The following is a 16,482-nucleotide window of genomic DNA, read 5'->3' as shown; positions in this document are numbered from 1 at the left end:
TTTTGCTGTGAACCTTAAGCTGCTCTAAAAAATAAAGTTTATCAATAAAAAATGGCAAAAAGAGAGATAAGAATCATCATCTTGGCCAACAGGGCCCAGCACACTTTTTCCTTCTACATCTCTAGCTATGTCTTCCACCTTCCCTTATCCCATGTCCCTGCCCCTTCCTCCAGCCATGTCTCCCACCTTCCCTTCTCCCACGCCCCTGCCCCTTCCTCCAGCCATGTCTCCCACCTTCCCTTCTCCCACGCCCCTGCCCCTTCCTCCAGCCATGTCTCCCACCTTCCCTTCTCTCTCGCCCCTGCCCCTTCCTCCAGCTACAGTGGCATTCTTTCCATTCCTCCCATGAGCCAAGTTATTTTCTAAAAAAATAAAATTTGTATTTTGGATAAGTTTAGAATCACAGAAGATTTGCAAATATAACAGAGATCGCTGTACACCCCTCACCTGGTTTCCCCTGTTACCATCTGACATGGCCAGGATCCCCCCACTTCCAACCAAGGCAGATTCTAGTTCTCATTGGCAGACCAAACAGCTGCCAGGTCACAGCTTTGATTTTGACCAATCCATCTCTTCTCAGCACCTCATCTAAAATTTGGTCTTTTCTGTTTTCTTTCTAAAGTGGATTAAGTGGCCCAGAGACTCCCTTTCCCCAGAATTGAGTGGCATTGATCTGCATGATGAATAGAAGGCTTTCCACAGATAGCAGGGACCCGAGGGGGGTGAGGGTGAGGAGGCCTGCTCTCATCAGCAATGGGCTGTGATCAATAAACTATTAATAACTGCAAAGGTTTCTGGAGAGATCAGTGTAATGCAGTTTAGCGGCTGGAGTTTACCAACACCGACGGCATCTCTGAAGGGTGAGTAATTGTGTTTTTGAAAAGCCAGGCACAGCGAGGGCGGATGCTGCATGCCCCGTGACCTGCATGCCTTCACTAGGTAAGGCCATGCAAGCGCTGGGCACTGCAGCTTCTGCTGAATCTGGAGCCAGGGCTGTGGGCCATCCACCTTCAACAGAAGTATGCCATGCCCTAAACTGAGGCTTGGATTGGGAGTGGGTACACGGATGCTAGAGGTTTTGGTCCCTGCCTCCATGCTTGTGCCTATAATGTTAAGCTCTATAGGCTCTACATTCAGATGCCACCTCCACCAGGCAGGCTACCTTGACTGCCCAGCCCTCCAAAGACATAATTCATCTCCACCTCTCCAGGGCTGCATCTGTCTCTGGGAGCACATACCTGTCCATGTCATGCTGCAGTATAACTTGTTTCTTTTCCCTCCCAGGCAAGGAGGGAAGCCTGGTCACTTGGTAGGTGCTCAAGGAGTATCACCTGTATGAATGAGGTTAGTGGAAACAGTCTGCACCAGGAGTCAAGAGCCCTGGGCTCTAGTCTTGGCTCTGCACCTGACTAGCATGTGATGTTGGATGAGGTCCTTTGGCTTCTTTGAGCTTCGGTTTCTCCATCTGATACATGGGTGCTATGACACCTGTCTTGTGGATTACAGCATCTGGGGAGGTGCCAATATGTATAAAGATTTACAGTAGGAGGCACTGCACTGAGCATTTTACCCTCTCTAACTGAATCTTTGCTACATAGAGTGAGTAGGTGGCATGATTTGAATTCAAGCCAGATGGAGGCTGGAGCCCATGAATGCTCTCCCCCACTGCCCCCAGATCTTCCTTTATCAGCAAATTGATTTGAGCTCTCTGGTCTCTGAATTTGCCTCCATCACTCTTGAGCGTGTCTCTATTCTGAGGCTTGCCACCTCTCTAGGTAATGAGAGCCATATGTTTTCTCCCTGCTGGAAGAAACAGGATGGCCTTTTATTTTCCTAAATTTCCTGCTCCAAGCTTCTGGCGGGCCCCTTAATTCTGATGACTGAGGTTTGCTGAGCAAGTCCTGTGCACATTCTCCACGCCCCACACGAGTTTACAGCCTCTGCTTAGCTTTCCTTTCCTGGTTTTGCCTTTCCACTGGGAAGAATCCTAGATTTTCATAGAATGGAGACACTGGAGGGGAGGGTGGAGCTGTGAGGACACAGGAAATGAGTTTGATTTGCTTTTCCTGTGCTGTTGAAGAACCAAGTGATCCAATATTTGACTTTTGCTGAGAACTGAAGCCTGAATGAATGAACACATACCAGTGCACTTACAACAGGGCCTGGCATGCTGGGAGTGCTTGTCATATTCTTCTCCTTACACTGTTAATTGATGAAAATTTTAAAACAAATCGTTAAGCACCCACCATGTACCATGCACCGCTTGTGGTGTTGAGTATATATAAGGGAACAAGACAGACAAAACAATACAGAAGGTCCCCGACTCACAATGGTTCAACTTACGATTTTTTTACTTAAGACAGCGTGAAAGTCATACACACTCAGTAGAAACCAGACTTTGAGTAGCCATACAACCATTCCATGGTTCAATTTCAGTATGGTATTTAATACATTCCATGAGATACTCAGCTCTTTATTACAAAATGGGCTTTGTGTTGGATTATTTTGCCCGAGTGTAGGCTAATGAAAGTGTTTTCCGCACATTTAAGCTAGGTTAGGCGCTAAGCCATGATGTTCTGTAGATCAGATGTTTTAAGTGCATTTTCGACCTAAGATATTTTGAACTTACGATGGACTTATTGGGACGTAATCCCATCATAAGTCCGGGAACATCTATACTTTTAAATGACCACACTATAAAGACACCTTTTCTCTGGAATCTGCCTCCAGTCTACATCCGTCTACTTCTTAGAGGGAGGAGGCTGGACGTTAATTAACCTGTCCCAGGATCAAGGTCATTAAAACAAACATCAATCTCATCCTGTCGAGTCTTAGGGGTTTTGCAATGTGTTAGGTGAGTTTATCCTGATGCTAAATGTCTCCTGGGATCCTTGCCTTTGTTTGTTTCAATTTTATTAATTGCTTTATTGGGGTATAATTGACAAACAATAAATTGTACCTACTCAGCATTTCCACATTTGATAAGTTTCAATGTATTGAGACCATTGCCACAATCAAGATAATGAACATACTCATCTCTCCCAAAAAGCTCCTTGTGCCCTTTTATAATCTATGCCCCTCATCCTCAGGCAGCCATTGATCCTCTTTCTGTCACTATAAATCATGATTCCTAGGATTTTATATAAATGGAATCACAAAGTGTGTACTATGTTTTGCTTGGTTTCTTCCACTCCTTGTCATTATTTTGAGATTCATTCATGTTGTTGCCTTCACCAATTGTTGCGTCCCTTTCCCTACTGAACAGCATCGCATTTCGTGGCTACACACCATTTACTTACCCATCCTCCTGTTGATGGACACCTGGATGGCTCTCTCTTCATTAAAACAGAGCCTCAAAGGCCTGGCAGCTACCTGGATCGTCTCTGTTAGCCCAGGGAGAGGTGCTGTGTGTGCAAATGAGGACATGGCACGGCTGGTCCTATACCTAACTTTATAAGACACTGCTCAAATGTCTTCTAAAGTGGCTGCATGATGGCTTCTTGGTTTTTCATGAGTTTTTGTCTTTTTGCCCACACTGCTCAGTGCCTTCTTCTAGAAGCAGCTCACTCCATGTTGCCCCTCATGCCCCTCCCCGCCAACCTATTCCTACTTTCTAAGTGTTGCTGTCAATTTGCAGTGAGCTTCAAATAACAAGTCCTGTTGGAATTGTGTGTGCAACGTGGATCAAAAGGCTTGGAGAGGAAGAATGGGGAGCTACAGGATTTCTCTATGAGAAAAGGGTGCATGACATTTGCCTGGGTGCCCCTGACCCTCTTTTCTTTTAATCTTCGCCCAGATTAGAGGATGTTGTGGCACAGGAGGCTCATCGATGTTTCCTCGCCTCCACCCCACTGTCTTGCTTGGCCCAGAACCTCTCCATTTTTGTCTTCATTCTTGCCACCATCTCCCTGCCTGAGGCCCCCACCCTGCTGTCAGAGTGACCTTATGACAGCGAAGATCTGGCCTGTCCTTTCCCAACATAAACCCTTCCTGCAGCTTCCATCGACTACGGGAGCAAGCCCAAATTCAGTCTGACTGCAAACTCAGATGTGGCCCAGACCCAGACAGGAGGAAGGGAGGGACAGATGGAGGGAGGAACGTGGTGTGTGGTTTTGCATCCTTGCCAAAATTCAGCAACTGAAGGAGAAGACTCTTCAGGACCAAACTTTCATAATCTACCCGATTTAAAAAGCATTTTGTAATTCAAACGTCTTCATTTATATACACAGTATCTCATTCTGGGCTAACAGAGAAGATTCAGGTAGTGATGGGTCCTTTGAGGCTGTGCTTTAATGAAGAGATGAGAGAGGCTTTTCATTTGTATAACCATTGTTTGCATGGAAACCAAGCTTCTAAAGGGCTGGGGACAGAGTTGTTCCTGCAAGTAGGTTAAACACACCCCCTGCAATCTTATGAGCCAAGTGCCTGCCTGGGCTCTGCCCTCCCTCATTCCTGCTGGAAAGATCCCAAGCATGAAGTAATGAAGTTTTACTGTTTCTGCGCCTGCCATGCATCCCTGATGGGCTGCTTCTTCCCTGAGGCCTGGGCCTTGTTTCTCACTCCCTCCAACACCTGCTCATTCTCCAAGTTCAGGGTCATGCCCTGTGATATGGGGGCAACATTTGCAGAATGCCTGCTCCACCTGGACAGAGCCGTGAGGCAGAGCTAATAAAACTGGCGATAAAGTGTCTGGCCACTCTGGGTACTAGAGGGATGTTTGCTAATAAGACACATGGAAAAGGTTTGCTACTCCCTGGAAAAAAAAGGGGGGGGCATGGGCGGGGAAGAGGTCTCTGCTCTTCCCCCCACCTCCTCACACCTGTGTAATTGGCAGAGGTGGCTGGGAGCTGTGGGTGGCTCAGGTCAGTTAGCTTGGCCTAGTGACCCAGGTGTGCACCTGCTCAGCCAGCCCTGGCTGCTGCCTATCCCCGGCTGCCCTCACGGCATCTTGCTTTTCCATCACAGTCCCTGGGTGAGAGCACAAACCTCCCAGGACTGGGGAATAGATTAGCTACTGGGGGTAGCATTTGTGGTAGCTGGCAGACCTGGGAAAACAGATGGAGACAGGCAGGAAAGGGCCTCCCTAGACCTTGTGGTGGGGTGGGGTCCCTTACAGGAGACCCCAGGGGGGTTCTGGGATGTACAAGAATCCCCTGAGGATTTGGTTCCAGCGCAGATTATGGTGAGCCTACAGTTGGAGTCTCAATGAATCAAAAATAGCTGATGTTCTTTTCACCAAACAATGCTGGGGAGTTGTGGTCTAATTTTTCCCCCAGCCACATAGGAAAGAGGCATGGCAGAATCATTCCGGGGCCCTGAGAATTTCTAACCAGCCACCAGGTACCGCTGCTGCTGGTCAGACAAGCCCGCTCGAAGACTCAGGGCCTCAGTCCTTCTCCCTCCCCCTCAGTCCATCCATCTGTTTACCCTTGCCCTGCCCCACCGCAGACACACTGGGTGGTCTCCTTCCATTGGCTTCACCAAACCTCAAATACCAGAGCCTAGTGCTTGGATGTTTTTGACACAGGGCAGCTGCCTAATGAATATCGTTGAATGGACATTCCTTGAGGACAGGGGTTCTTTCAAACACCAGGGGCTGCCAGAAAGCTGTACACACACAGACATGGCCCCTGCACTAACCGAATGCTGAGCCTTGCTCTGCTCTCCCAGCCCCTGCTCTGTACCTGCTTCCTGTCCTCCGGCTTCTGAAAGAGATGGCGATGCACTCTCTGTCTTTCCCTGCCTGGTGGAGGTGGGTCTACACTCGAGCTCAGCCCAGAAAGTGGGACCCAGACTCCAGGCCTAGCTCAAGAGCAAATTGTCTCATCCTCCCTGCTGTGAACTTGACTAAGGACACCTTAACAATGGTGTCAATATATTCCTGGGGACCTGCCTGTGAAGGCGAAGTTTCAGCTCCAAGGATACCGAAGACGGAATAACCCGAAATCCTGAAATGACTCCCTACCCTCCTTTTGGCCAAGCCCTGGGTTTTCTCCTCCATCAGGCCCTTTCCAGGGACACAGTAGGGACACACTTCCTCCGGGAGGGGTGGGGCCATTGGACAGCACCAAGCAGAAAAGCAGGGGGACACAGGAGACCCTCCCTTGAGCTAAGGGACCTGTCTTGTGAGCACAGAATGTACATGGAGAAGCTCCATTCCTTTAATAGCTCTCCCAGAAGAGTCTGGTCTTAACCAGGGTGACCAGCTAGTCCTGGTTTGTCCAGTCAAGAAAACTAAAGACAGGGAGGTGATTTATGCAAGGCCAGGCAGCAATCAGCAGCAGATCTGGGAAGAAGCGGCCGGGCCACCTGGACCAGGTGATCCGTCAAAGGTTCTGGGAAATGGGGGCTCATGACCGCCCCCTGCAGGCGGTTGGGGAGGCTTGGCGATCCGGCCATCTTGTTACAAAGCCTATGCATCCATCCAGAGGCGGATGTGGAGTACGTGCTCAGTGATAGGCAGCTGTGGCTGCTGTGAGCCAGAAGTCTTAATGAGTCAAGGTATCTCAATGAGCCAGAAATACATGGTGCTCTTTTCACCACACAACGCAGGAGAATTTGGGTCCAACTTCTCCCCCAGCCAAACAGGGAAAAGACACGGCCGAATCATTCCATGGGGCTGGGAGCCCACTGCCTGGGGTCTCCTGCCACCTTCCAGCCATTCCTCTGGCTGGGGAGCCAGTCAGGAGCCCGGCCATTCTTAATGTGGTGGGCTTCCCTGAGAACACTCAGCACAGATGGAAGGTCTCCCAGGTTGTACAGCCTGGGAGTGGGATGGGGGAGTGGGACCGGGGAGAGAGGCAGGGATGGGGCAGCGCTGGACAGGGGGCCTGGAGCCTCCGGAAAAGCCCCACTACCTAAGAGCTGAGCCCCTGGACACTGGGAATTTTATGACCTTCCTCCTTATGTGTTTTCGCCAATTCCAAGGCTGCCTGAAATCTTTTTCTTCAGGGCCTTTAAAAAGCCATTAGTATGATTTTCACCGCCCCCCAACCTGAAAATGGTTTCTGTCATACAGTTGCTCATTGGGTACAAAATATCTGTGGCATCCACTGGAATGCAGGGCTGGCTAGGAGGGGTACCAAAGAAAGTAGGCACAGAGGGGAGAAGTTCCAGAATACTCCAGCCGATGCCCTCTCCGCCCTGCCCCCAGCTCCCTCCCTAAGCCCTCCCCTCACCCGCTTCAGGGAGCCTGGGACCCCTCTCAGGCTCCACCCCTGCCATAGACGTCTCTTAAATTGGCCTGATCGTTGGCGGCCCAGCTGCCTTAGCTCCTTGGCCATTTCCTCCTGCTGACCTTGAAGGGTGAGAACGAGGGGACAACTCTTGACTCACACTGGGCCATGTTTGAGCCACATCTTTCTCAGTTCTATCTTCACACTGCAAGGGGACTTTTGGTGCTGGACGGGTGGGGCTCACCACACTCTGCTCTACCTCCCAGGACTGTGTGACCTCAGGCAGGTCATCGGCTCTCAGCTTCAGCTTCTGCACCTCAAGCCCTTTGTCCTGAGGCCCTGGGTGGTGAAGCTGGGACAGGACAAGGTCACCATGGAAAGCTCCCTTACTCCTGACTAGAGGGACACCCCAGACCTGCCAGTCATGATTTACCAGTGGGCAAACTGGTAGGAACCTTTTTCCAATGTGAGAAAGCACCTCTGAGAAATCAGGTTTTCTTTTCCAATGTTGAATTACCCCAAGAAAAACCAGAGAGAGCTTAGCTTGGGATCCTAGATCATCCAAGCCAGGAAGTCAGTGACAGGCCCTTGGGTGGTGACAGATATGGGGTCGCTGGTCCCGACCGCTCTTTCCTGCCCTGTCCAGCCACTGCTGTTCACCTTGGGCCCTGAACCCGCTTCCCCATTCCCACCCTCCATCTTTCACTGGCTGACCCCTTCCCCTGACTTCCTGGCCCATCGCTTCCCGCTCCCCTTCACCCATTCCGACATCTCCCGCTCTTCTCCACCGGCTTCCTCTCCAGGCCTCTTTTCCAGACTCTGGCTGCTGCCATGGAAACCACTTCCTCCTCCAGGTCCTGACTGATCCACTTAGCCCCTCACTGGTCAGCCTGTTGGACTCAGGCTCTGGGTTCAGGGGTGGGCAGGGGCGGGAGGGCCCAGGGTTCAGAGTGTTTTTCCTACCTTCACCCGACGCCATCCCAGGACTGGCAGGCAGGGGGCGTGGGGCACGTGCTCTTCAGAAAAAGACTCCGTGTGGTGGGGAACCAGGAGCCAGGTGGTTGGCCAAAGGGAAATGAGACCAAAGAAGCTGGGCAGTGAGCAAACTTGGAAGGCTGGGCCCGTGGCTGAGCTCGCCGCCTCCTTCCTATCGTTCGTGATTGCTTTATTTAACAGGAATCTCTGCCTCTGCCTCTCTACTTGGTGGTGGGTGAGAGCTGGCATCAGGAAGGCCCCAAGCCTGTTGGAACCAAGCCTGCCTCCACCAGAAGAGGGAAGACGGGCGTGGAAGGTGGCTGCCTCTGGGTTTCCCGGACTTCCTCAACCTGTTGTTTCTATGATCTTTTTTCAATGAACATGGCTGTGCCCCTACTGTGGGCAAGGTCAGCATCAGGTCCCTCGCCCTTGAGTTCCAGGAGCCGATGCAGGCCTCGTTCATCAGTGTACCAGTGAGAGGTTCACTGAGCACCTCCTGTGTGCGAGACCCTGTGCGAGGCACTGAAAACTGATCTCATTCAATTCTCAGGGAAAGCCTTTTGCAATAAGAACAATAATAGCTAATAACCTCTCTAGACCTTCCCATGGGCCAGAACCACCCAGCTGTAACATGCTGTAGTTGAGTGATCTGGGACAAGTTAATGCCTCAGTTTCCCCATCTGTAAAACTCAATTTCACAACACTCCCATGAAGTAGGTGTTGTTATTGTCACCCGGCCCTCACAGAGGAGGAAACTGAGTCACAGGGATGTTGCTTACAACTTGTTGGCTGAAGTTACTCAACCAGAGAGTGTCAAAGCTGGGTCCTGAACCCTGCAGCCAGGCTCCAGAGCTGATACCTGCTACGGTCCAAATGTCTGTGTCCTCCTCAAATTCAGATATTGAAACCTAATTACCAATGGAATTGTATTAGAAGGAGGGGCTTTTGGGAGGCGATTACGGTGGGATGAGCACCCCCACAAAAGAGGCCCCAGAGAGCTGCCTGGTCTCTTCCAGCATGGGAGGACACAGCCACTTTCTGGCTCATGGGGTGAGAGGGCTCCATGTGCCAAGTAGTGGGCCCCCAGCCAACCTGGAATCTGCCTTGACCTTGGGCTTCCCGGTCTCCAGAGCTGTGAGAAATGAATGTCTATTGTTCATAAACCACCTGGTTTATGGTATTTTATTACAGCTTTCCAAATGGATGAAGACAGTGCCCTTAACTCACAGGCTAGTTGCTGTTTGAGGTGGGTGTAGCACACAGAGAGGCCGAGGCTTCTGCAAGGTCACACAATCAATCAGTGGCAGAACAGAAACAAACTCTTTCAGGCTGGAGAGAGAGTCATAAAGGGCAGGCAGAGTGAGTGGAGGCTCTGGGGTCATCGAGGCATCAGACTGTGGCTCTACAGCAACATGGAGGCCTGGTGCACAACCTGCCTCTGCTTCTGGTGACCAAGGGCAGACCCTTTTGTCTGCAGGGACCATGTTTTCCCTGGAAGCAAACTCCAGCAAGAATGCATCATATGGGTCCCTCCAATATAGGGCCAGAGCCCCCGACGCCAAACTCTTCCACCACAGTTTGACAAAACGATCAGAAAAGAGGTTCAAAGAGATGGTGCTTGACCCCTAGAAAAGCAGGCAGCATGCCAGAGCACTGCAATTCAGAGAGAAAGCTCTGAGCTGACTTGGCCTACCCGCGTGGATGTCAATCAGCCCAGTTTCCTGCAGGGAGAGGGTCCAGGTGAAATATCCTCAAAGCCTGAGATGGACACAGCAGTCAACCGGCATTACATCATTTAGTACCTACAACCACCCATTGAGATCAGAATGATAAACCTCACTGAACAGATTAGGAAACTGAGGCCCAGGGAGGCCAAGCAATTTGTCTGAGGTCACGCAGCTAACTCCTGGAGGAATTGGGCAGGAACTCAAGTCCAGGGGCCCATCAACAAGATAAAATATTTGAGAATGGCTGGAGATCTCTCTCTCACTGTCTGTCTTTTGGGATGGACCAGGGGCAGCTTCAGAGCAGGACCGATGACTCCAGTTGGGCAAAGCAAACCTGAGCATTCCTTGCGAAGCTGTGGTTAGGCCTGGGGCCCCCACAGGAGGCCTTTCCCAACCAGGTCAGCTGATGGATGACCCGGGGCCAAACCTGACTCCCGCCGCTTCATCAAAGCGGAGCTAAAAACAGCTTTGCTTTGGCAGTGGAAAATTGAAACTCCGAGCTTCCTCTTAAGGCTCTTAAACAGGTCAGCCCACCAAAAGCCCAGTCCTTCAATCTGGGTTCTCTTAAAAAGTAGGGCAGGCCAATTATGTTTGACTGTCCTGCGCTACGTGGTGCTGAAGGCGGGGAAGGTCAGGCCAGGGTGCCCAGGGCTGCCAGCAGATGAGAGACAGAGGAGCCAGCCAGCTTCTCCTATCAGCCCCTTTGTCAAAACAAAATTAAAATGCCTGGACTCCTGCTGGCACCAAGATCCGATCCAAGGTAATAGGTATTTATCTTAGCGTGTTCTGCTCTGGGCTCAGTGCCATGGGGAGATGGAAACTAGAAGATATCTTGCTTCCGGTTCTGTCTCTCACACTGAGCACAGTACCCAGCTCTGAGAAGGCAATAGCTATCTGGTCATTCATGCATCCAACATATCGTTACTGAGTACCTACTATGTACCAGGGTCTATCCTAGGTGCTAGGGATACAGCTGTGAACAATAGAAACCAAAACCACTGACCTCATAGAACTCGTATTTTAGTTGAGGGACACAGACGGTAAACAAAGTAACCTTTGAAAAATATAGCAGGTCGGTGATTACAGGTGTATTTAGAAAAAGAAAGACAGGACAGGGATAGGGAGTGCTGGGAGTGGAGGGGGCGCTTCTATTTAAAATTTGAAATTGCTGGGAGGTCAGGGAGGCTTCACTGAGGAGCAAAGTCCTGACAAAGGGGAGACAAGTAACATCTGGTGTAGAATAGATGAAACAAATGCACAATCGCTGAGCTTATATTAAGTACCAAAACTTTGCTAGACATACTTACATTCGTCATCTCCTAGTGAATTCCTTGGAACAACTTAATGAGAGGAACAACAGTACATAAATTTTTAATGAAGTAGCAGAAGCTCAGAGCCAAAGTCAAAGACAAAGTTTCATCTTCACGGGCTTACAGCCTGTGTAAAGAAGTTAAACAATTCAGCAGCTATGCTTCTTTTCATAGTAATAGTTACTATGATAGTTTCCTGGACACATGGTTGCCCAAAATAGAGACTACACTTCCCAGTTACCATTGCAGCAGGTGGCCATGTGACTAAGTTCTGGCAGAGGGATGTAAGTAGGTGTGTTACACACAAATTCCTAAAGGGTTCTTATAGGAGGGGGTGTGTCCTTTTTTTCTTCCTGCTTCCTCCTAGCTGGAATGTAGATGTAATGGCTGGAGCTGGTGCAGCCTTCTTAAACTTTAAGGTGACCTTCAGAATGGAAGCCATGCACAGTGGAACATCAAGAGGGAAGGAGCTTGAGTCCCTGACACCAAGGAGCACCCTCTGTCCTTTAGACAGGCTACCTGGGACTCTTAGGAGAAAGAAAAATAAACTCTTATCTAGTTTAAGACATACTCACTTTGGGTTTTTGTTGCATGGAGCCAAAAGTAGTTCTCACCGATATCATTTCAGACAATACAGAGTGGTGTGGATGGTGAGGGAAGGAAGAGGTCATTCCCTGGTTTAAATCCAGCCATTATTTATGGTGGCTGTTTCCTACAATTTGGGAATAACCGGTATAAAAGCCACATCTTCAGCTTTTTAAAGCAAAGCCAAACGTATAGATTTGTTTGTAAAATCTCCTGGTTTTCAATAATTTGTCATTGATTTAATTAAAAACATAGTTTTAATTAAAAACGTTCAGTGTTAGTCAAATAGAGCGTGTTGACAGGCCGATTCTGGGCTGTGAGTCCCTGGTTTGTAAGCAAGGTCTGGTGAGGAAAGGGCCCCAAAGGAGAGAGTGTGCAAGTCAGTGAGTGAGCTGGGGCCGTCAGGTGCTCAGGGATGATCCTGCCATGGAAGAAGTGGGGTGGCATCCACCTGAATGGGTGAGTGCCCAGTGGGTTCAAATTCCTGGAGTGAGCCCCTTGGATTCTCACCAAGGTCTAAGCAGAAACAGTCCCATTTTGCCAAACGCACGCACACACACACACACACACACACACGCACGCACGCACACGTGCATGCACCCTATCAGTGGAGACAAGGCCTGCAGAAGTGATCTGTGGCTCAGCAAGCTGGTACATTTTAATGGATGCATCACAATCAACCAAAGCCCTCAGTATCTGTCCCTTCTGCCAATTGCCAACAATGTAAGGAGACGTGTTTTTTGATGGTAGTGAGGGCAAGGTGAGAATAAGGAAGGAAATAACTGTCTACCCACCTGCAAATTTGGGACGGGGGGCCAGGGCTTCTTCCTCATTCCCACAGCTGCATCATTTAACAGTTACACTGGCTCAGGAAATGCCAATGGCTGGGTGTGGTGTGGCCCACAATCCTGGTTTGGGAAGAGCCATCTATAGTCACCATGACTACCTGCTGGCTTCTAGGAAGGTCTTTCATTTTGCAGGGAACCTTTCCCATGCATTCTTCAGCCCCCACTGCTAGGGCCTGCATGAATAGCGTGGATGACAAAGACAGTGGGGCATGGACTCTAGAGCCTAGCTGCCCAGCTTTGAATCCTGACTCGCTGCGTGACCTGGAGTAAGTCACTCTACCACTCTGTGTCTCCATCTCCTCACCTTACAATTTGGGGTAATGAGAGTACTTTTCTCATGGGTTGTTGAGAGGATTAAATGAGATAATACACAGAAGGCACTTAGGACGGTGCCTGCCCCGTAGTTAGCACATGTGTGTTTGCTTTGTCATCATGCCATGCATTGGCATTGGTGTTCATGCTTTCTTCCAATCACTCAGCTCTCCTCTGCTGTCTTTTGAGAGGCCTGGGTATGAATGTGGATTCATGGCCATAGACTGAGTGGGGGAAAAGAAAAGGACCAGGAGGTCCCAGGAATGTGGAGCCATTGGGTGCACCAGAGAGAAGGTGCATAGATGCGGCTCTTGACAAACACTCTAGACCAAGCCTCAAGAATCCACATTTTCAAATGATTCCTGGAAGTGCAAGGCTTTGTCCTGGCTCTCAGGTGTGGTTCCCATGGAGAGGAGTGTGGCTTAGTAGCCAGGAGCACAGGTAGTGGCATCCAACAGACTTGGGGTCAAACCTCAGCTCTGCCACTTGAAAACACCGTGACCTTGGGTAGGTTGCTTAACCTCTCTGTGCAATGTCTCTTAATCTGTAAAGTTCAGTATTGTGATGCCTGCCTCACAGGATTGTGGTGAGGAGTGAGGTGGTAGTATGGGAAAAGATGAAATGTGTTTTTTTCTAGCCACAGACCTGGAGTAGAGGAACCACCACTGGTCCTGGAAAAATTAGCATGAACAAAACTAACCACCATTTACTGAGAAGGCTTTGGTTCTAAGCACTTGATCCACACTATCTCTAGCCCTGCCCAAAGCCTAGAGGGGCAGGCACTGGTCAATGAGAAACCTAGGGTACAGTCAGATTACGTGACTCACCCAAGGTCACACAAACAGGGAGTGTTAGAGAGAGATGTCGATCAATTCTGCAAAATAAAACAAAGGGTGGACTCTGTCCTTGAGGTTACCTCCATGAGCCACTCTGTCTACTTGCAGCCCCAGCATTGAGAACATTGCTAGGCATGGATTGGTGTTCAATGTTTATTTGTTGACTAATAATAGATAACACACAGCACTTGGTATGTACCAGGCGCTGTTCCAAGCACTTTACACATATTAGCTCATTATGCCTCTTGCAACCCTGTGCTGCCTATGAGGTAGTATGACTATATTATGTACTATTACTCTCATCCTCATTTTACAGTTGAGGAAACTGAGGCACAGAGAGGTCTAATAAGATGCCCAGAGTTACACAAAAAGAATGGAGATCTCACTATCAATCCAAGAGGTAAAATCAAATCAGGGTCTTATCCGGGAGGAATTGGCATCCCAGAGACAGACTACAGCTGGGACCTAGGGACAGGGGTTGCATTAGGGACCTGCTATGAAATACGGGGGCAGGGGCTTGCACACAAGACAGTAGGAGAATTGTTCACACCAGAGTTCAAGGTTGGATAGAGGATGATACAAAGGAGAGTCCATGCAGAGCCCTGAGCAGGAGTAGGACCCTCTGAGTCCACAAGCAAGGGTTAGGAAGGGGCAGGGCAGCTGTGGTTTCTGGAAGGCCCTGAGGACTGCTCCCTTAACAGCAGGGGAGACTTCCATTCTCCAATAATCAGCTCAAAAACTCATTCCCTCTGGCCTCAGCAGTGGTCAGATTCATGCTGGGGAGGAGGGGACAGGATGACAGCTCTGCTCTGACAGGGCCCAAAGTCTCTGGGGCACCTAACCGCCACCGCTCTGCATCATCGCCTGGCAAAGCCCAGGCCCTGTGAATGGCATGGGCCAAGGACCTCAGTTGGCCTCGTGATGCCTCTGCTTGAGGTTGGCTCTGGGTCTTGGTTTCCCATCAGGGGCTCTGCCTTCCAGAAAGTAAGCTTGAGAGTCAAGCGGGAATACCTGCACTGGAGCATGGCCGGGGCTTTGTGTTTCCAACCTAAAGAACACCAAATGACTTTTCTATGTCAAGCATATGCTGGAGGCTTCTACACAGCATCTCATTAAACCTTCAGCACATCTGTCCATCCATCCATCCACCCATCCATCCATCCACTCACTTCTCATCTCTCCAGCTATCCATCCACTCACCCCCCATCTACCTATCTAGCCATCCACACCTATCCACCACCCATCCATCCATTCATTCACTTCTCATCTTTCCAGCTATCCGTTCACCCACTTACCATCCACTTATCTAGCCATCTATCCATCCACACCTATCCACCATCCATCCATTCACTGTCTACCCATCCATCATCTATCCATTCTCCATCCATCTACCCATCCACCCATCCATCCTACCATCTACCAATCCATCATCCACCTACCATCTGTCCATCCACCCTCTACCCATCCACCCATCCATCCATCCATCCATCCATCCATCATCCATCCACTCATCCAACAATTCTACACTGAGTGTCTAGCATGTGCCACTCAATGGTAGATGGGGTAATTACTAGGAAGATAACAGTGAGCAAGATGAGCATGATTCCTGCCCTGATGGACCTGACTTTCTAGTGTTGCAGACAGGGATGGAATTAACCACCTAAATATGTGTTTAATTAATAGTGTGAGGAGTTCCCAGAGGCATCTGGGGTGCTGGTAGACCTGAGAACAGAAAGATCTGACCAGGCTATACTAGAACGTCAGGAAAAGCTGACCTAGGAAGGGACATGAAAGCAGAGATCAGGAGGAGGAGCAAAACTCTCAGCTCGCTGTTGCATTATCTGCATGCGGCCAAATGAGACCTGCCCTGGAGAGCAGAGATGGGCCGTGGAAATGCTCTCCACTGCTGAGATCCTCTCCTATCCCCGCCCCATCGCCACACTCTCCTCCCTTCACTCCAGCCACAGATCTCTGGAAGCACTGCCTGGCCCTTGTCCCTGCTCTCCCCTCTGCCTGGGATGCTGTCCTCTTATCAACCCCAACTCATGCACCAATCATGATCTCTGATGAACTTCCCAAACCCCTTTCCCTCCTGCACCTCCATCAGCTGGGCCAGGAAGATACCTGTGGCCTCCTGGGACCCCCAGCAAGAGTCCCCATCATTGTACCTGCCGCTGAGCCTGGATGTCATCCGCCCATCCAGCTCTTCCCCTCCTCCTCCCTGCAACCAGGTTTTGAGCCCCTCCCACCGCTCAAGAAATAAATATGTCTCATGGCAGCTTGAAGTCCCAGCAGGCCACTGGTGCAAGTTTTCTGAGAGGTAGGGTAGCACAGTGATGAAGACGAAGGCTTTGGCACGAGACCTCCCTGGCTGGGTCCCAGCTTCACTGCAAGTCACTCTGTGTGGTCTCAGGCAAGTCACTTGCCTTCCCTGATCCCTGGCTCCTTCACTTGCAAAGCAGGGATCATGAGAGGGCGCTCCTTGCAGGCTTATTATGAGGTTTAAGTGAGTTCCTGTAGAGGCCGTAGCAGAGGGCCCGGCCCACGATACCAGTCAAACCCACTCAATTAAAGTAGCACCATTATCATTATTAATTAGGCATGAATCATCTTTATCTATAATGGGCGACCTCCGCTAACCTCAGGGGAGTGAGTCAAATCTCTAAAGCTGGAATCGTGGTAAGAAAGGGGTAGCTAGTCTGGGTTGGAGAAAG

The 16,482-nt window shown here is 49.9% G+C and overlaps 1 protein-coding gene across 4 annotated transcripts in view, besides 2 other annotated features; it reads right to left on the bottom strand.

Annotated features, from left to right (window-relative positions):
- Nucleotides 1-16,482, bottom strand: part of IGSF21 (immunoglobin superfamily member 21) — a 270,686-nt gene that overhangs the window by 47,670 nt on the left and 206,534 nt on the right. The gene's annotated exons all lie outside the window — the stretch shown is intronic.
- Nucleotides 7,985-8,279: an enhancer, noted in NCBI's record as "tiled region #11488; HepG2 Activating DNase matched - State 12:CtcfO". NCBI's record gives its function as "activates a minimal TATA promoter and a strong SV40 promoter by Sharpr-MPRA in HepG2 cells {active_cell/tissue: HepG2}" and the evidence as "EXISTENCE:reporter gene assay evidence [ECO:0000049][PMID:27701403]".
- Nucleotides 7,985-8,279: a silencer, noted in NCBI's record as "tiled region #11488; K562 Repressive non-DNase unmatched - State 20:ReprD". NCBI's record gives its function as "represses a minimal TATA promoter and a strong SV40 promoter by Sharpr-MPRA in K562 cells {active_cell/tissue: K562}" and the evidence as "EXISTENCE:reporter gene assay evidence [ECO:0000049][PMID:27701403]".

Source organism: Homo sapiens, chromosome 1 (genome assembly GCF_000001405.40).
Source record: "Homo sapiens chromosome 1, GRCh38.p14 Primary Assembly".
Classification (NCBI taxonomy): domain Eukaryota; kingdom Metazoa; phylum Chordata; class Mammalia; order Primates; family Hominidae; genus Homo; species Homo sapiens.
The sequence above is the reverse complement of the archived record's forward strand: the minus strand, read 5'-3'. Positions and strand labels throughout refer to the sequence as shown.